The sequence below is a fragment of the Homo sapiens genome, chromosome 1 (assembly GCF_000001405.40).
Source record: "Homo sapiens chromosome 1, GRCh38.p14 Primary Assembly".
Taxonomy (NCBI): Eukaryota; Metazoa; Chordata; class Mammalia; order Primates; family Hominidae; genus Homo; species Homo sapiens.
The window spans coordinates 116866496-116886842 of NC_000001.11; the positions used below are offsets into that span (position 1 = coordinate 116866496).

Genomic DNA, 20347 nt, shown 5'->3' on the forward strand with positions numbered 1-20347 from the left:
CACCAGCAAAGGCAGGCTATGCTACAGTATCTTCCACATCTATCATTGAGGCTAGCACTCTGCCACCCTCCACTACCTCTCAGCAAGCCGAACTCATTGCCTTAACTTGAGCCCTCACTCTTGCAAAGGAACTATGTGTCAGTATTTATACTGACTCTAAATATGCCTTCCATATCCTGCACCACCATGCTGTTATATGGGCAAAAAGAGGTTTCCTCACCACACAAGGGTCCTCCATCATTAATGCCTCTTTAATAAAAACTCTTCTCAAGGTCGCTTTACTTCCAAAAAAAACTAGTCATTCATTGCAAGAGCCATTAAAAGGCATCAGATCCCATCTCTCAGGGCAGTGCTTATGCTGATAAAGTAGCTAAAAAAGCAGCTAGCATTCCAACTTATATCCCTCATGGCAGTATTTCTCCTTCTCATCGGTCATTTCCACCTACTCCCCCACTGAAACTTCCACCTATCAATCTCTTCCCACACAAGGCAAATGGTTCTTGGACCAAGGAAAATATCTCCTTCCAGCCTCACAGGCCCATTCTATTCTGTCGTCCTTTCATAACCTCTTCCTTGTAGGTTACAAGCTGCTAGCCCACCTCTTAGAACCTCTCATTTCCTTTCCATCATGGAAATCTATCCTCAAGGAAATCACTTCTCAGTGTTCCATCTGCTATTCTACTACTCCTCAGGGATTCTTCAGGCCCCCTCCCTTCCCTACACGTCAAGCTTGGGGATTTGCCCCTGCCCAGGACTGGCAAATTGACTTTACTCACATGACCCGAGCCAGGAAACTAAAATACCTCTTGGACTGGGTAGACCCTTTCACTGGATGGGTAGAGGCCTTTCCCACAGGGTCTGAGAAGGCCACCACAGTCATTTCTTCCCTTCTGTCAGACATAATTCCTGGGTTTGGCCTTCCTACCTCTATACAGTCCAATAACAGACCGGACTTTATTAGTCAAATCACCCAAGCAGTTTCTCAGGCTCTTGGTATTCAGTGGAATCTTCATAATCCTTACCATCCTCAATCTTCAGGAAATGTAGAACAGACTAATGGTCTTTTAAAAACACACCTCACCAAGCTCAGCCTTCAACTTAAAAAGGAGGACTCTGCCAAGGATAGAGTCCAAAAATTCCCAAACCAAGCAAATAATTACGCTGAACCCCCTTGGGCACCCTCTAATTGGATGTCCTGGGTCCTCGCAGTTCTTAGTCCTTTAATACCTGTTTTTCTCCTTCTCTTGTTCGGACCTTGCATCTTTCATTTAGTTTCTCAATTCATACAAAACTGCATCCAGGCCATCACCTATAATTCTATACAACAAATGCCCCTTCTAACAACCCCACAACATCACCCCTTACAACAAAATCTTCCTTCAGTTTAATCTCTCCCACTGTAGGTTCCCATGCTGCCCCTAATCCTGCTCGAAGCAGCCCTGAGAAACATCGCCCATTATCTATCCATACCACCTCCAAAAATTTTCACCACCCCGATGCTTCACCACTATTTTGTTTTGTTTTTCTTATTAATATAAGAAGACAAGAATGTCAGGCCTCTGAACCCAAGCTAAGCTACCATATCCCCTGTGACTTGCACTTATACATCCAGATGGCCTGTTCCTGCCTTAACTGATGGCATTACCTTGTGAAATTCCTTCTCCTGGCTCAGAAGCTCCCTCACTGAGCACCTTGTGACCCCTGCCCCGCCCGCCAGAAAACAACCCCCTTTGACTGTAATTTTCCATTACCTACCCAAATCCTGTAAAATGGCCCCACCCCTATCTCCCTTCGCTGACTCTCTTTTCAGAGTCAGCCCACCTGCACCCAGGTGGAATAAACAGCCTTGTTGCTCACACAAAACTTGTTCTGTGGTCTCTTCACATGGACGTGTGTGACAATATCTATTGCAACTGATAAAAATTTTATACAAAATGATGAGCTACTATGCATTTCCAACTTCACATTGAGTGATGTCACATTAGTAACTTGAAATCAGTCATGATGGGTGTATTTACACCAAGAAAATTGGCCAGCTCTATCAGTCAGGGTTTCCTCCCTGCATCCCCCAGGGAAGCCAGTGGTTAAACATTTAGCAGCACACTCCTGATTGCAATCCTTAAGACTTACTCACTATTCGGTATTTACTGGCTAAGACCAACTACAGTATAAGGTCCTCACAACTGAGCATATGAAGAGCACCTTTCCTCAAAGACCCACCATAAGGCAGGTGGAGCATGGGGCTCAGGTATTCCTTCTATTTCCGGACTTGATGATTCTGAATTGTTTCAACTTCCTGAAATTCTTACCTTCCACCAGAAAGGCTCAACCACTTTGAATTTTCTAACCTACCTTTTCTTCTACCAAGGTTCTAAATCATCTTGTGGCTATATTGCTCCTCAGCCCAGATCTCTGCTGTTATGTGTCCATGAGATGCCTAACTCTGCTTGAGAAAGCAACGGAATGAGGGAACCAAAGTGTCCTTCTCCTGAGCAGTCCTAGAGATTGGGTTGTGAGTAGGTCACTAGCATAACTCTGGGGAATGGATCAGTTCTTAGAATGATGCTGCTGCCAAGGCGAGGCATGTTATCCCAAATCTCAGTGGCTGTTACAAGAGGAGGAGACTACCCAACTGCCTTGTTTGGAACATGACCCATGTTGGCCAAGTATCTCTCTGCCCAGTGAGTACACTAAGGTAAGACCAAACAGGACTGGACACTTTGCACTCAAGTTTCCCTGGACCTAAAATAGTAGCTATGGATTTGGAGGGGGAAAGGCTAGCTTTCCCTTTTGGACTTCCTGCAATTACTAACATGGGGGGGTCTTGAATAATGTGCTCTGGGAAATGACTGGGTACATTATATGCATCTCAAACTGGGTAGAGAGGCATCCCAGTTCAATGAAACAGAACAAGATGAAAAGGCTGGGCACGGTGGCTCATGCCTGTAATTTCAGCACTTTCGGAGGCCAAGGCAGGTGGATCACAAGGTCAGGAGTTCAAGAGCAGCCTGGCCAATATGGTGAAACCCCGTCTCTTCTAAAAATACAAAAATACTTGGGAGGCTGAGGCAAGAGAATCACTTGAACCCGGGGGGCAGAGGTTGCAGTGAGCCGAAATCTCGCCACTGCACTTCAGCCTGGGCGACAGAGTGAGACTCCATCTTAAAAAAAAGAAAAAGAAAAAGAAGGAGATGAAAAGGAAGGAGAAGAGGAGGAGGAGGAAGGAGGAAGAGGAGGAGGAGAAGGAGGAGGAGGAGGAGGGGGAGGAGGAGAAGAAGAAAGGAAAGAAAGAAGGAAAGAGAAGGAATGGCACAGATTAGACAATGAAGAACAAACCCCGGCTATTCTGCCTCAGACTGCCCCTTCTGCTGCATTCTCCGACTCAGTTAATGTGATCTTCATTTTCTAGTTTCTCAGATCTTTATTTTTTACTTCTTTCTCTCACAACCCAAATTTAATCTATTATCAACTACACTTTCTCTCTCTTTTTTTTTTTTTTTTTTTTTTTTTTTTTGACAGAGTCTCTCTCTGTTCACCAATCTGGAGTGTAGTGGCTCAACCTCAGCTCAATGCAACCTCTGCCTCCTGGGTTCAAGCAATTCTCTTATCAAGCCTCCTGTGTAGCTGGGACTACTGGCATGCACCACCATGCCTGGTTAATTTTTGTATTTTTAATAGAGACGGAGTTTCGCTATGTTGGCCAGGCTGATCTCAAACTCCTGAGCTCAAGTGATCTGCCTGCCTTGGCTTCCCAAAGTGCTGGGATTACAGGTGTGAGCCACTGCGCCCAGACATTTATCAATCATACTTTCAAAATAAACCTAGAATGTACCCTTTCCCTCACCATTTACCCCTGCCACCCCCCGATCGCAGTCACCATCGTCTCTCTCCTGCATGATCACAAACGCTGCTAATGGGCCTGTTTCTGCCCTGGCTTTCTCTTGTTTCAACAGAACAACCAGAGTGATCTTGTTAAATCATGAGCCAAATGACATCACTCCTCAGCTCAAAGTCTTCCAGAGGCTCTCATCGGGAATGAAGGCCAAAGTCCTTCCTCTGTCCTGCGGGACCCTACTGATCTGCACCCCTTGCCTCTTCAACCTCATTGCCAACTACCTCCCCCTTGTTCATTCTGCCCTATCTACGCTGGCCTCTGTGCTGTTCCTTGACTATATACCAGACAGATGCCCACACCAGGAACTTTGCAGTTACTATTTGCTCCCCCAAGACACTCTTCCCCCAGATAACCATATGCCTGATTCCCCACTTCTCTTAGTTCTGTACTCAAAAGTCATCTTCTGAGTGAGTCCTTTCCTGGCTACCTAACCAAAACATCTCCACCATCTCCATGCTTCATATTCCCTTTCTTTGTTTTTTTTCTTCTTGGCTTTTATTACCCTTTGTATATTTATCTTTTTTATTGACTATCTCTCATTAGCATATGGGTATATGAGGGCACAGATTTTTGTTTTGTTTACTCTCCAGGTTCTAGAACAGTGCCTGGTTCATAGTAAATGCTCATTTCAATGATCTATTGCTGCATCATAAGCCATCCTAAAATACAGGGACTTGAAACAACAGTTTATTAGAATCTCACAATCTCATAGGCTGACTGGGCTCAACTGGGTGGTTCTTCCTTGGGAATCTCTCATGTGGTTGGAGTCAAATGGCAGCTGGGACGGGAGTCATCTGATAGACTTGGCTGACACAGGATGCTGGCTACTGGCCAGGAGTTCAGCTCCGCCCACTGTCTGGAGTGCCTACATGTGACCCCTCCAAGTTCACTGGGGGCACCAACTTTTTTCTTTTTCTTTTTTTTTTTCTGAGACAGAGTCTCTTTCCATCACCAGGCTGGAGTGCAGTGGCATGATCTCGGTTCACTGCAACTTCCACCTCCCAGGTTCAAGCGAGTCTCCTGCCTCAGCCTCCCGAGTAGCTGGGATTACAGGCACTCGCCACGACATCCGGCTAATTTTTTGTATTTTTAGTAGAGATGGGGTTTCACTACGTTGGCCAGTCTGGTCTCAAACCCCTGACCTCATGATCCACCCACCTCAGCCTCCCAAAGTGCTGGGATTACAGGCGTGAGCCATGGCGCCTGGCGAGGCACCATCTTTAAAGATTAACTACCAGGGTATTCAGTGAATACTTGTGGGATGAAGGAAGGCAGAAAGGGAGGGGAGATGGTGGGAGGGAAGTAACTGGAAAATTTACAAAAAAGAAAATGAGGAAGGAAAGGAGACAGCAGAAAAGGAAGGAGAAAAGGAGATGTGGATTTCTGAATATGATGACAGTATTATAGCCCGGGAATAAAATCCATCCTTTCCTGCCTGACCCTTCTTTCCCATCTCCCTCAAGTTGCATAATAACCTGCTTGGAAGCAGAAATTCAACTAACGCCACATATCAGAACTGGAGCGCTCTTGGCAGAATCTTCTACAATTTATACCCCAAGTTCAAATTTAAGCCAAGGCATATTTCCAAGGAAAGAACAACACAGTACTTTATCTTGATGTTGCTCCTCACCCTTGGTGATTTCAAAGCAGGTTTATAAACAAGCGCTGTCATTGTGCAAGAGAGGAAATGGAAGGGAACTAGTAATATTTAGGTAACCAATAACAAAATCTTTGAGTCAATATTATAGTGAAATGATTAAGTAATTACGTGGAATCAGAGGCAGACTACAACTGCATCAAATTAATAAAGTAGAATTTGGAAGAAATAAGATATAAAAATTTCCACATAAAAACTGAAGTCAATTGAGGCTGTAAGGAGCTAGAAATTAAAAATAGATTTATACCAAACTAGGTAGAACAAAATTGAAACAGTTGTTGAGATATTAAAAATGGATTTGCTTTTAAAACCGTTTGGAATAGTTTAGTCATTTTCCAGAGCCATAGATATTCTGTGCCAGTTGAGCACTTTTTCCCAAACCAACCTGGCAGACGGTTGTCTAATCAGGAAGCTTTGCAGGCAAGTTCCTTGGCTAAAACCCATAGGAATAAATGAATTTGGGTTTCTAAAGTTCCAGTGTCTCAGTACAAAGAGAGATAGGTAACCCTTTTTCCTAGAGATACTGATGATGATATAAATTGTGGTATGACAGAATGCAAATTCCCTAAGCTTGGAATTCTCCTCTAACTGACATGTCACAGAATAAGATGGCATCATGTTTACTTCAATTTGTGGTCTCTCTAAACCACTTTGGTCTTTGGCCCCCAGATCTGCCCATTTCAGGGAAACTGGAGTAACTCAAAAAAGTAACTTGTCATGAATTAGTTAGGATTAGGTTTGGCAGCAGGATATTGAACTCTCCCTACTCCCCAACACCTTCACCTCCCTTAAAAAACAATAACAAAAAAAAAAACCAGTGGCTTAAACAACATGAAAGTTTATTTCTCTTTCATATAAGCCTGAATAGGTAGTCCACAGATGGTAAAGGGCTCCACAGTGCAGGGAATCAGATTTTTTTTATTTTTATTTTTCTGCCTTAACTGCATAATCTCCACTTCCTAAATCATCCTATCGTCCAAAATGAATGCTTGAGCTCCATCCCGCATATCCCATTCCATCCAGGAGAAAGAAGAAAAAGGTAGAGAGCAGGAAAAGCTCCCTGCCTTTAAGAACACTTTCCAGAAGTTGCTCACACTACTTCTACTTACATCTAACTAACCAAACGTTAATCCCATGACCGGGAGAGAATCAAGAAGACTGGGAAGCAGTCCTTCTAGCAGCAGGTGCCTAGCTAAACATTTAAGGTCCTAATACTTTAAAATAGAAGAAAACAAATGTTGTGAGACAATTAAACAGTCTCTCTGCTACAGTTTATCCCTTTGGCCTCCCCAAATATATGGGCATCCCCATGTAGGACACAATCCCTCCTCAAGGGGAAGAAACCCAGGGACTGCCTCCAGATCAAAGTCAAGATCTCTGAGTGAAGTGTAGTCTCCGTCTTCAAATCCAGATATGATGTTCACAATCTTGCAAGCTGTTTTAGTCTGTTCAGGTTGCAATAACAAAATACCTTAGACTGTGTACTTTATAAATAATATAAATTTATTTCTTACAATTCTGGAGGTTAGGAAGTCGAAGATTAAGGCACCAGCAAATTTAGTGTCTGGTGAGGGCTCTCTGCCTCGAAGATGGCACCTATTGCTGAATTGTCACATGGTGGGAGGGCAAAAAAGGGCCAGACTCCCTTCAGGCCCTCTTATAAGGGTACTAATTTCATTCGTGATGTCGTCACCTGCTGAAGACTACCCCCCGACCCCTTACTATGATGACATTGGGGATTAAGTTTCAACATGAATTTTGGAGGAGCCATATTCAAACCATAGCACAAACCATAAACTAAAAGATTAGTTATCTTTCCCATAACCCACTACATATGCAGTGATGTAGTAAGAACAAGAAAACCACAATTAAAACTACCAGTCAGAAAATGTGAAAGTCCCAGAAGTCGATCTATAGTAATTATCAAATCCTGCTGAGCAAGAACAGAGGGGACTCTCTTCTTAAACATCAGGAGTCAGCCGTCCGTCCTGTGGGAGGTGCTTCTGTGTCCATTATTCCCCATGGTTATGTCTGAGGCAGGAAGTGATGAGTTTGCCCTTTGGGGTGGGAGGACTGCTGCACAGCTTTCATAGCCTGTTTCTTGTTAATACATAGTTGGAGGCACAAAGGTTGCTTTAGGCATTGAATAGTCACAGGCTTTGGCAGATTAGGCTTGGATGCTTGGCAGTACAATTCCCTCAAAAACTAAGTAGGCATCTTTTCCATTTGCCTTCCATCAGTTCCATGTGCGAGTAACAATAGCCAAATATCTTGTCTAAAAATGGTTTTTAAACTGAAAGACTCAGATCTTTCAGACCTTTGTCCTCTGCCCACCCTTTGCCCCAGTTTAATGGCAGCTAGTTGAGTTTTGGAAGGAAAGCAACAGCTTTAATTGGATAGTAACAGCTAAGTTGTCACCCATTGTCTAGCAGACAGTTTTTAATAGCATTTTATTTTTATTATTAATTTTTTTTTTTGAGATGGGGTCTGTCTCTGTCGCCCAGGCTGGAGTGCAATGGCACGATCTCAGCTCACTGCAACCTCCACCTCCCAGGATCAAGCCATTCTCCTGCCTCAGCCTCCCAAGTAGCTAGGACTACAGGCATGCGCCACCATGCCTGGCTAATTGTTGTATTTTTAGTAGAGATGGGGTTTCACTATGTTGGCCAGGCTGGTCTTGAACTCCTGACCTCTTATTTTCTGAGACAGTTTCTCACTGTGTCAGCCAGGCTGGAATGCAGTGGTACAGTCATAGTTTACTATAACCTTGAACTCTTGGGCTCAAGCAATCCTCCCACTTCAGCTTCCTGGGTAGCTGGGACTACAGACACACACCACTACATCTGGCTAATTAAAAAAAAATTTTGTAACAGTCTTGCTATGTTGCCCAGCCTAGGTTAGTCAATTTAGATGGCAGGCCAAAGGCAGAGAGCATAGCCTGTACCACTTCCCTAATATCTTAACAATTGGACAGATTTAGCTGTAGTTTTCTACACTTCTGCTGCTCATGGAATTGAGGATTTTGCAACAATAACCACCAGCCCTCAGCCCCACTCTTGGTACTGAAATGAGAAAAGTTCCCTTGCCCCCCTTGCAGGGCGCGCGATGGGGATGTGGCTCGCTTCTTCAGTGAGCGGCTGTTAAACCTCTAGGGGAGCATACAGAGAGGCAAGCTGTGGGGCTCCGACCCCACTGCAGTGTCTAGGGGTGGATGTTTACAGCTCCTGAAGCCCCAGTGGGCGCGTGTTACAGGGTGCTCTTTTAGTTTGGCCGTCTATAGGCAGCTTGTGTTAACCAGCTCAATTAGACCCTCTACCTTGTTGCAAGGACAGAAGGCTTTCTGTATCCCGAGGTTCTTGCCTTGGTGTACTGGCGGGCTTGGAGAATGGGTGCAAGGTTTTTTTATTGAGTGGAAGTAGCTTTCAGCAGATGGGTGAGCCAGAAGGGAAATGGTTTTCCCCTGGAGTCGAGTTGCTTGACGACGGACCAGGCTCTCCTCTAACTGCCCCAAGCCCAACTCCATGACGTTCTGCCGGTTGGTGGCCTGCTGGCGTGCCGGTGCCTGTCGGTGTGTCCCTCTCCACCTCCAGCCACCTGTGTATTCCTCCGCTGATAGGCTCCTCTCGCCGTCCAGCTGCCTGTGTGTCTGCCTGCTAGGGTCTCCGGGGTTTTTATAGGCACAGGATGGGGGTGTGGCAGGCCAGGGTGGTCTTAGGAAATGCAACATTTGGGAAGAAAAACAAAAATGCCTGTCTCACCTAGGTCTGTGTGGGTAGAGCTCTAGCCAGGGACCACGCCCTCCTCTACCCAGCACTTCCCTTCCCCCATTCTATATCATTTAAAGGGACCATGCTTTTCCCTTCCCAGCACTGCTATTGCAGTACAAATTTATGGTTTAGTTAGGGTAGGTTAAATGGCTACCAGTAGTTGACCTAAGAATTTAATCACTCTAATACAAAAAATACATTTCTCCTTCTTTTTTTTTTTTTTTTTTTTTTTCTGAGACAGAGTCTTGCTCTGTCGCTCAGGCTGGAGTGCAGTGGCACAATCTTGGCTCACTGCAACCTCCGCCTACCAGGCTCAAGCGATTCTCCTGCCTCAGCCTGCCAAGAAGCTGGGATTACAGGCATGCACCACCACGCTTGGCTAATTTTTTGTATTTTTAGTAGAGATGGGGTTTCGCCATGTTGGTCAGGCTAGTCTTGAACTCCTGACCTCAGGTGATCCACCTGCCTCAGCCTCCTAAAGTGCTGGGATTATAGGCATGAGCCACCACGCATGCAACTGTCCAGGATAGGTGCTCCAGAGATTCAGGGACCCAGACTACATGAGTCTATGTCTTCGTAAGCAAAGGACTCATGTTAGTGAATAGTCTGACTAAATGTCTTATCTTAGACATTTTCCTATTAAGAGGTATAGATCTGCAATAAGAAAGTAAATTCTGCTGCTTAGTCAAAACTCAGAATTTTCAGCCAATAGAATTTAGTGTATGTGACAATAGGGCATCTGTATTAGAGAATGCCCATTTAAGGCTCTCTTAATTGCCCAATCTGAACCCATAACGCTGTGGGGCTATTATGAGCTTTGCACAAACCTGGATTCAAATATTGCCATTCCTATTACTTACTGCCTATGTGACTTTGGGCAAATTACTTAATCTTTCTGAACCTTTGAATGCAGATATTAAAACAAACCTACCCAATGTGTAGATTTGATTTGATATAATATATATCAAATAGATATATAAGTTTGGCATTTACTAAGTGTTGAATAAATGGTAGCTATACTTATTTGAGGAGCTCACAGTTATGATATCGGAACGTGGGTATGAATTTGGACAGATCTGTGTTTGGATCCTCATTCTTGCTAGTTGTATGTATGACCTGGGCAATTCTTTCCTTATTAGGTTCCTCATCTGTTAAATAGGGATCATAATACCTATCTCTGAGTGTGGTTATAAGGATTATACACAAAAGACTCCTAGTATAGTAATTAACACAAACATTCATTCAATATAAGGCTTCAGTTCTTGTTTTTATTTTTATTACTTTCTTTTCAGATTAAGAAGGCAATGTATGCTCAACTAATTTTGAAAAATACAAAAGGTTATGAAGGAGGAAATAAAAACCTACTGAACATCCACTACCTGGAAGACATTGTCAATGTTATATCTTGAGGGCTTCATTCCAGCCTTTCTTTTTTTATTAGGCTATTGTTTTTAAAGCTATGGACTGTGGAGTTCCCTTTGGTTCTATACACAGGGAGTTCCCCACTTTGTGTTGTGAAAGGGAAGCCAGAAATCCCTACCAGTGTAAAAATAACCTCCCCATTAAAACCAAAAGCCTCCAGTTAATAATAGAGAGCTTCAAGTGAAGAAATAATAGCCCTTCCTAAATTAGGCTAGATTTGCTGCCATCTTGGAAAGAGGAATGAAACCCCATAGGAATAGGAAGGGCTGGGAAGATCTGGGGGTGTGTGTGAGTCTGGGGCTGCTGAAGACACTTGACCAATTTACAGTCTCGCCGTGGGCTAGTTCTGCTAGGAGAACATCTAGTACTGATTCCAGTCAATAGGGTATTCTAGTCACAGAAGGACTGTGAGATTTGGCAAAGATCACAAAGCAAGAAATGCAGACAGAAACACTCAAAAATTGCAGCTTGGGATAGAGCAGAAGTAAAACCCCAAATTCTGGATTCACATGTTCTGACATACCCAGTTTATCTGGAACAAGAATCAAAAATTTAAACTGAACAGCTACCAATCAGGACTTATGTCTTCCCTAAAAGGCTCTGCAGTATGGGCACTCAAGGAATATTTTTAAAAAAAATAATCAGTGATAATCTGATAATGAAATAACAGATGAGTTTGTCATTTTAATTTCTGTACCTCCCCTTCCTATTATCACTGCCCAGACATTTTGCCTTAGTCTTTAAAATGTAAATTTACCTACAGCTATTCATTCTGCCTATTCTAATGCCTGTCAAACCAAAATGAAAGAAAACTGTACCAAGGCAAGTCTGAGATCTTCGTCTCAATCAGTAAAATCTTCCGCGGAAGCTTGCACTACTCAAGCAAGACAGATCTGAGCTCTTGATACAGTTAGGAAATGTGACCTACTTTAAAACCCAGCAGAGTGTGTGTGTGTGTGTGTGTGTGTGTGTGTGTGTGTGTGTGTGATGAAAGTGAATTGTTTTGCTGAAATCTGACACTAAAAATAGGGCACCGGATCCTTCCCCTGCTGGAAAAAGAAAAAAAAGAAAGACATTAAAATGAGTGTGTGTCTGTATGTCTGGGAATATGTCTCCATGGCAACCATTGTCCCACCTCCCCTATCAACAGCATTACCCCTCTCCACGGAAAGAGGGCATATGAACGCCTTTCCCAGCACCCCTCTCAATCCCTTACTCCATGAAATCTAATTAAAGAGTGAAATGAATTTTAGCGCTGGTTCCAGAGGCTGGGAGAAGTCCACGACTTGGGGGCAGGGTAAAGAGAGGAGCGCTGGGGGAGGGACAGGGAGACCTGCCCTTCCACACTGGAGCAGCAGCACGCGACTCTGTTCTCATTTTTAAAAAGAGCCACAGCTCCCACGCTGAGGAGCTGGAAGGGAGTGATAAACCTGCCATGCAACGATGTTATTACTTTAATGGATACAGGACCGGTTGAGCACTTTATTTCCACCAGGGCTTTTTACTTTGCATCTTCCCTTTCCACAACATCCAGTTTTCCTCAGACACTCCCCCCTTTACTAATGAACGTTGTCCCCATTTCTAATCCCGCTCAGGTGAGGGAGAAAGCAAGCATTATTTGAGATAATAGGTCTGCCTCTGGGGTGAGGCGTATGAGTCAATCACACTGGTGAACAACCCCACCCCCCAACCTCAAAAATCCTTTTCTGTATAGATTAGAAGCCAGAGAAGAATAGGGGGACATGGAGTGGTGAGGAAGACACTCTGGGGAGGTTGAAGCTGATTTGGGCAAATGAGCTTCAGGGTTTTTTTAGCATCTGCCAGGGACCTCCCTTCCCCCTTTCCAGCAGCTGCCTGCCCTCCCTCCTCCTTCCCCCACCTTTAGTGTCCAGTCAGCAGCAGCTCAGGCGCCTCCCTCTCCCTCCTTTTTGGCCATCCCTGCCCTTAGCTATCTGGGCATCTGTTCCTCATTCCTGCATCCAAACATTTTCTCCAGGTTGGCTGTCAGTCCGGCATTGTGCTGCAGGGGTCTCAGCTGGAGCAGAATTGCCTTCACATGAGCATGAGCATTCGGACAGGTCTGGACTTGTCCCTCTGACAAGGAGGAAGCGGTGGCAGGAAGCCTGTGGGCCCTCCTGGGAGAGAGGGGAGAGTTAGTTTTACACGGGCTCCAACTGTGTGATGTTTCAGCGACAAGAAGAAGGAAGAGCATGAAGAGTAAATCGGAGCCTGTCACTCAGACTTGTGTCTTCTGTCCTGGTGGACTGAGTGTGGCGGGCTGCAAGCACAAGGAAAGTCAAAGATGTGCTTTTTTACCCACAACAGGGTGGCAGGGTCGAGAGTCGATTGGCACAGGGCAGCCAGCGTGTGACTGTGGGCACCAGCAGGAGACAGCACCAGCTGTGGCATCTGCAGTAGCCGCCACCTTGACTGCCAGCCCTGCCGCTTCAGCAGCAGGCACCTCCATGTCCTTGGAAGGGATAACCAGCCTCTCCACCTGGACAGTGGGCCTTAAGCGAGCCTTCCCTTCTTGCAGCCAACTGAGGCAGCCGGCACCCTTGCTTGCCAGATACCCTGAAGCGTTCTGGAAAAAGTCAGGGAAGACCCACAAGCATGGGTCACTGTCAAACCAGAGAAATTCCTCTGACTTTAGTTTTTTTTTTTTTTGCCCAGGTTGATGTGGCTTAGGGCACATGGCTTATCCACAGTATAATCATGAGAACCAATATTTACTAAGTCCTCACTCTGGGCCAGAAATTCTTCTAAGCATTTACCAACTCACTTAGACTTGCAAGAGCCTGTGAAACAGATGTCATTCTTGTCTCCATTTGACAGAGGAGGTAAGAATATTCTCAAGGTTATATAGCTAGAAAGTGGCAGTGGCCAGGGTGCGATGGCTGACGCCTGTAATCTCAGCACTTTGGGAGGCCAAGACAAGTGGATTTCTTGAGCCCAGGAGTTTGGGACCAGCCTGGGCAACATAGTAAGACCTCATCTCTATAAAAATTTAAAAATAAATAAATAAAAAGTAAAAATACAGCTAGAAAGTGGCAAAGTTATGGTCTCAAATCAGACAGTTTGAACTCAGAGCCCATGTGCTGGCCTCTCAGACTGGGATCTACTCAGTCACTGGACAACAACAAATCTCCAGTCTTCATCAGATTATCTGATTTTTTCCAAATTGCTTAGGAATTCTTTAAACATCAAAAATTCATTATATAACCATTATGTAAATAACATCATTAAAAGCATGTTCAAATGAGAAAAAGAAGTCACTACTAAACTTACCACCCCAAAGCAACTGATTTTATATATGCATGCTTTTTTGATCCTTGCACTCACATGTTCCATATAGTGAAATATAATTCTGTATTATGATTATTTCCTGATGTTATAACATTGTATTATAAGTGTATTTTCATAAGGTTATTTTCTGACATTTTAATTGCTGGGTAGCATTCCTTCAAGTTGATGTACCATAATTGACTTAGCTACTTCCCTATTTTGAACATTTAGATTGTTTCCACTTAAAAATTTGAAAAATAAACAAACTCTTTGCTCTCATTTTTTCCTTTTATCAAATGCCTTGACCGTCCAGACGCAGGAGAGATGTTTAACCTGTGCAATTGAAGCTATTTTGATAACCTTTAGCTTATCCTTAAGGTTTATGCAAAGGTTAAAAGTGTATGAGCTGGAAGAATTTCATTCTGTACTATTCATTGCTGAAGGACTTGGAAGGAATGAAATGGTGAATGGAATTGCGCTCAGAGTATTGCTGCCAAGGTGCTAGAATGGTGTATGTAACAGACACAGGCCAAGGAGGCTGAGCAGCAGACTTGCAGAGTCAACATTTTTAACTTGGTAACAGATGGCCCACTGGTCAGAGCTCAAAAGGCTTGGGCTCCGTAAACCAACAGGACCCAGGCATATGATTCAAATGTTCTCAGTAACCAGAGGGACCGCTACTGTCCACTTGCCAAGGGCTGTGGTGACATGTGTGAATATGCAAGAGACGGGAATTATTTATCTTCCCCTAACCTCGATATTTCATTAGCCTCAGATAGAGACTGCTTTTTTTTTTTTTTTTTTTTTTTGAAACGGAGTTCCGTTCTTGTTGCCTAGGCTGGAGAGCAATGGTGCGATCTTGGCTCACTGCAACCTCTGCCTCCTGGGTTCAAGTGATTCTCCTGCCTCAGCCTCCCAAGTAGCTGGGATTACAGGCGCCTGTCACCACACCCAGCTAATTTTTGTATTTTTAGTAGAGATGGGGTTGCATTATGTTGGTCAGGCTTATCTCGAACTCCTGACCTCAGGTGATCCACCCACCTCGGCATCCCAGAGTCCTGGTGTTACAGGCGTGAGCCACCGCACCTGGCCGAGACTTCTAAAACTCTGAATCACCACTGACTGTATTCCCAACTCCATCTGGACTCAGCCCTTCCGAAATAATGAGAAAACCTCCCTATCTAGGGTATGCTTAGACAAGATGAGATTCAGCTTAAACCCTGGTAATAATTATCATTCTCCCCGTATCCCGAAAGCTCAATCCTGGTTGCTAAGTCAATCCAGACAGGCAAAGGGGTTTAAGAAAGCCAGGACTAGGGAGAGACAAGTGAGGTGCCTAGTGGGCAAAATTGAAGGAGGCATCACTTGCAAGTGCCGGCCCTGCACTTGTGTGACCCTGAGAATGAGGGCCTCCTTACATTTTGTGCCCTGAGCATCTCACTTGCTCACCCTGCTGGCCTTGCCCTAATGTCGCAGCAAAGCTCTGGCTTAGTCATTGCTGTCCTTATCAACTCCCTGCCCCTGTTAGGCTTAGAATAACTAGTTGAACCTAGGTCCTTGACCTTGGCAGGTGAAGAAATGGGCCACATCCACTAAGGTAGCAGTAGTAGAAGGGCATAGGCTGATAGCCTTCACAGGACCAGGTGGAAAGTGGAAGCCCATGTTCTCCAACCAACTGTGGACAAACAAAAGGACCAAACAGCCAGAACTGTAACTTCAATACGCACTGGCACTTGTGTTTTTAAGCTTGCCGAGAGAATTAACGTTCAACAGCTGTGCGTATTCACACTGCTGAATGCATATTACACAATATTCTCAGACATTCTCCTACGCAGAGCAGCAGTATTGGCCCATCGGGTGATTCATGAGTTTCCAACACAAGCCGCCAGAGAAAGGGAGCTATCAAGATTTTGGTGATGAGAGAGAAGCTGTAGCACATGGTAAAAGAAGAAGACAAACTGGATATCTTTTCAGGCTGGATCAAGAAAAAGCTTTGACAGAATGAGACATGATTTTCCTTTATTTGAAGTGTTGCAGGTCTACGGATCTCGGTGCAATTTGTTCAGTATATGGAGCAATGCAATGAGTATTCCAACCCTGAACAGCTGGGAAAGGAGAAAGATGTGAAAAATGAGGAGGGATCCAGGTGAGTTCACACTTGAATAATAGATTCTCTTGGTAATAAAACCACAGAGAGAGCCAGTGCTTGCCCAGATCTAGAGCTATCAAGAACTCCATTGAAACTCTACCGGCTTACAGTTCCTTCTATGCCACCTTAAGCACACCTATTCTGAGAGCATGGCTCTCCTTTTCTGTTGTCTGAGTCAGTGGCTGCCAACACAGGTGTGTGCACACAAATCTATTGGGGTACCAAAAAAAGAATTATATTTAATAATTATTTGTCTTCATCTGGCTAAATTTCTATTCTTGAATAGGTTTTAGGATGTACATCATATATTAGTACAGCAGTGATAAGTATTCATTTTGACAGAAAAATGCTAAAAAAAAATTCATACTAATGGGTCACATGATCAAAAATGCTTGGAAGAAGGCCAGGCGTGGTTCCTCCTTCCTGTAATCCTAGCACTCTGGGAGGCAGAGGCAGGTGGATACCTGAAGTCAGGACTTTGAGACCAGCCGGCCAACATGGCAAAATCTCATCTCTACTAAAAATACAAAAATTAGTCGGCTATGGTGGCATGAGCCTGTAATCCCAGCTACTCGGGAGGCTGAGGCATGAGAATCACTTGAACCAAGGAGGCGGAGGTTGCAGTGAGCCAAGATCACACCACTGCACTCCAGCTTGGGTAACAGAAGGACTCCATCTCAAAAAAAAAAAAAAAAAAAAAAAAGCTTGGAAGTCACTAAGCAAGAAACTCCTGACTGGGCGCAGTGGCTCACATCCATAATTCCAGCACTCTGCAGGGCTGAAGTGGGAGTATTGTTTGAGGCCAGGAGTTCAAGACTAGCCTGGACAACACAGTGGGACCCAGTCTCTATACACAGTGGGACCCAGTCTCTATAAAAAATTTAAAAATTAGCCGGATATTGTGGCACACACCTGTGGTCTCAGCTACTCAGGAGGCTAAAGCAGGAGGATCACTCAAGCCTGGGAAGTCAAGGCTGCAGTGAACCATGACTGTGCCACTGCACTCCAGCGTGGGTGACAGAGTGAGACCCTGTCTCAAAAAACAAAACAAAAAGAAACTCCTTAGCTTGATGTTCTGGGCCCTCTGCAACTTGCTTATTCAACCTCCCCTCCTGCTATTTCATCCCTATACTACCCACTGTAATAAAATGGATCTGGTCATCCAGTAATTCCTGTTTTTTTTTTTTTTAAACTTCCTCTCTCTGTATCTTGGCTGCTGGAATACCAGCAAATGAGGAGAGCTAATGAAGTCTCTTGGATACATTGAGCCTACAATCATTTTACTAGCAGAAATTTCAGCCCTGTCCAGGATACCCCTTCCTAGATAAGCTCTCCAGGGATAACTATCTTGTTCATAATTCTCAGTGAAACAACCTACTGCTGTCTGCCAGAGAGAAGTGGTGGCTCAGATGTATTCAACTTTCTTTCTTTTTTTTTTTTTGAGATGGAGTTTCACTCTTGTCACCAAGGCTGGAGTACAATGGCGCAACCTCAGCTCACTGCAACCTCTGCCTCCCAGGTTCAAGTGATTCTCCTGCCTCAGCCTCCCCAGTGGCTGGGATTACAGGCACGTGCCACCACGCCTGGCTAATTTTTGTATTTTTAGTAGAAATGGGGTTTCACCATGTTGGCCAGGCTGGTGTCAAACTCCCAACCTCAGGTGATCTGCCCATCTCGGCCTCCCAAAGTGCTAGGATTACAGGCATGAGACACTGTGCCCAGCCAGATGTTTTCAACTTTCATGAACAAACATTACAACTACTGCCACCCCCACTGGCAGCTATCCCCACTGCTTGGTAGACTAAAGACATCAACATCATTGGAATTAATACTAACTGTGTACCCTGCCACACCAGTGTTGGTGCTAAGACCTTGGCAATACAAAGGAAAAATGATTCCAGGAAGTACAGTATGGAGATCCAGAAAACACCCTCTATCTCTATAATTTACTCAGCCAGGGATTTCCCAAAGCCAAACTGCTGGTAGCAAGGGTGCTGCATGTTTCTGTAGTTTGTACATGGCACAGTGGTGCCAGGCAGGCAGTGGATCAAGCCCTCAATCCAGGGACTTTTCTTAAGGTATCCTAAGGCAGATTGCATTTTCCAAAGATGGCAGCCACAGTATCTCCCATCCCTCAAGCTCTTCTGACAATGTGACATTGACACTTCTCCTGTGGAGTGGTGAGGTCAAATGACCTCTCCTTGTAAACTTGGGCGGATCTTTGTGATTTCTTTGACCAATAGAGTATGGTAGAAATTATGGTTTGTGATTTCTGAGGCTAGGCCATAAAAATGCCATGTACTTCTACAAGGATCTCACTCACATACTCATCACCTGTGCCACATAGCACAATATGCCCCAGATGAGCTGTGTGACTGTGGGCAAGCTGCCTAAGTTCTTGGAGCCTCAATTTCCTCTTTCATAGAATAGGGATAAGATTAATCCCTACTTCACAAGGATTACATAAATTAATCCATGCAAGTGCATAGTATAATGCCTAGCATATAGTAAGCCCTCAATGTTAGCAATTATTATCATGTGGCATTTGGTAGGTGGCCAATTAATATTTGTTCATTGATTAATTAAATTGCACTGTACACAGGTGGAAAGAAGATGAAGATCCAATTTTTATCCAATGGCACAGAAGGCTCTTCATGTCCATGCTCTGTTAATGTCACCTTCCCCAAGCCGTGTCTGCACCAACTGCCCTGCACAAACCGCCACAGGACACCCACAACCCTGCACCCTGCCCTAGTCTTCTCTGCATTTTCCCTCAAGCTCCATGTTGCCTGCCGATGTCTGCTTTTACAATTCCCTCTTTCCAGAGTATTCCCTTCAACTTCCTCATTCTCATTTCAACTAATTTTTACTGGTACTCCAGTCCTCATCCTGCAGGGCACCCCTTTGGAGTCATTTTCTGACCTGGAGGTTTTATAGAAAATGTTCCTCTCTGTTTACCCTATCATGGCAGTGGTTTGCCATAGGACAATTGCCTGCTAATTTCTCTGTCTCCTTCATTACCTGGAAGCTCCTGGAGGGCAGGATTTATATAATCTTCACCACTGTTTTCCTAGTAGTTAGGAGTACCCAACCAATAACAGTCACTCAATAAATACTTTTTGAATAAATTGTTGCAAATAAATAGTAACCCTAGAATATTCAAGGTAACAATGTTCTGTACAATCACTGGAAGAAAACAGCTGTTTAGTACATTTTGAAAATATTTCCATCAAAACAGATTCAAATAAAATCTTGGCACTTCAATGGAATAAGCTTCAGTTAACTGGAAAAATAATGTGCTTGCAATGTGTTAACAGAAGATGGTAAATAAATGAGAATATAGTTACCTAGCTTTTTCACTGACCTTTCAAATAGATAAGCTCTGGGGATGACAGGGGGATGGGAAGAAGGAACCATATCCATTCTACAGTACCAAGGATTGTGCCTTGATTACTTAGTTGCTCAATGAATATTTGATGACAGACTCAGAAATGTAGGGCTTAAAGGAACTTTGATGACTGAGGATTGTTTGATTAAAACTGAACCATTTAGGACCCTGGGGGATGAACCACAAAGCAGCTGTCACTGGCCAGCAGAATAAGGGAATACCTCGCTGCTACTCCTAGGATCTGGTCCCAGGTGTCTGCACTGAATGGCTTTCCAGGAACCCCAGCAGTGCCTGCCAAGACTGCATTTTCAGATTTAACTGCTAAGGCTTTCTGTATGGAACAAGGAAATATCTGCAATGCTTTTTGTCTAAATGTGATCAGCACAGCATTCTGTAGTATTCCTTTCCAAGGAAAGCACACCACATTTAGGCTGGGAAAACATTCCAAATTTCCATTGTGATAGGATCCACCAGGGTGAGGCTAACAGCAGTTTCTAACATAACCAAGGCCATTTTAATTTCCCACAGAGGCCTTTCTGATACCCAAGGCTCCACATTGGTTTGCATTGCCAGAACCTGTTGGAGCACTGCATGCCATAACCTGTGTTTCTTGGTGAGTTGCTTGTCTATTATTGAAAATCCCAAGACTATGACATCATGGCAATAAACTTCAGAATGCTGAGTGGGTTTCCTCCCTGCCTGGGAAAGCCTCCTTCTAGACAGGATATGACATGATGGTCTGGGAGAGCTTAGGTTAAATTTTTTTCTGCCACCACTCAGGGTA

At 44.2% G+C, this 20347-nt stretch overlaps 1 long non-coding RNA gene across 2 annotated transcripts, besides 7 other annotated features; it reads left to right on the forward strand.

The window, feature by feature from the left end:
• Positions 4532-4826: an enhancer, noted in NCBI's record as "tiled region #12934; K562 Activating DNase matched - State 8:EnhW". NCBI's record gives its function as "activates a minimal TATA promoter and a strong SV40 promoter by Sharpr-MPRA in K562 cells {active_cell/tissue: K562}" and the evidence as "EXISTENCE:reporter gene assay evidence [ECO:0000049][PMID:27701403]".
• Positions 12166-12697: an enhancer, noted in NCBI's record as "NANOG-H3K27ac-H3K4me1 hESC enhancer chr1:117421283-117421814 (GRCh37/hg19 assembly coordinates)". NCBI's record gives its function as "activates a minimal SCP1, AML or CMV promoter by ChIP-STARR-seq in primed H9 embryonic stem cells {active_cell/tissue: H9 hESC(primed)}" and the evidence as "EXISTENCE:reporter gene assay evidence [ECO:0000049][PMID:30033119]".
• Positions 12166-13392: a biological region, named in NCBI's record as "MED14-independent group 3 enhancer GRCh37_chr1:117421310-117422509".
• Positions 12193-13392: an enhancer, noted in NCBI's record as "MED14-independent group 3 enhancer chr1:117421310-117422509 (GRCh37/hg19 assembly coordinates)". NCBI's record gives its function as "activates an origin of replication core promoter dependent on BRD2, BRD4, P300/CBP and CDK7 cofactors, and independent of MED14, by STARR-seq in HCT116 cells {active_cell/tissue: HCT116}" and the evidence as "EXISTENCE:reporter gene assay evidence [ECO:0000049][PMID:35650434]".
• Positions 12698-13229: an enhancer, noted in NCBI's record as "H3K27ac-H3K4me1 hESC enhancer chr1:117421815-117422346 (GRCh37/hg19 assembly coordinates)". NCBI's record gives its function as "activates a minimal SCP1, AML or CMV promoter by ChIP-STARR-seq in primed H9 embryonic stem cells {active_cell/tissue: H9 hESC(primed)}" and the evidence as "EXISTENCE:reporter gene assay evidence [ECO:0000049][PMID:30033119]".
• Positions 12758-13047: an enhancer, noted in NCBI's record as "active region_1576". NCBI's record gives its function as "activates an Ori minimal core promoter by ATAC-STARR-seq in GM12878 lymphoblastoid cells {active_cell/tissue: GM12878}" and the evidence as "EXISTENCE:reporter gene assay evidence [ECO:0000049][PMID:35858748]".
• Positions 13098-13177: an enhancer, noted in NCBI's record as "active region_1577". NCBI's record gives its function as "activates an Ori minimal core promoter by ATAC-STARR-seq in GM12878 lymphoblastoid cells {active_cell/tissue: GM12878}" and the evidence as "EXISTENCE:reporter gene assay evidence [ECO:0000049][PMID:35858748]".
• Positions 13523-19303, forward strand: LOC105378927 (uncharacterized). 2 transcript variants are annotated; one of them, XR_001737804.2, is made up of 3 exons: positions 13523-13581; positions 16056-16172; positions 18778-19303. It is a non-coding gene; the product is annotated as an uncharacterized LOC105378927 (long non-coding RNA). The 2 variants fall into 2 exon arrangements; XR_947742.2 differs by lacking the exon at positions 13523-13581 and adding an exon at positions 15889-15966.
• The last annotated feature ends 1044 nt before the right edge of the window (positions 19304-20347 follow it).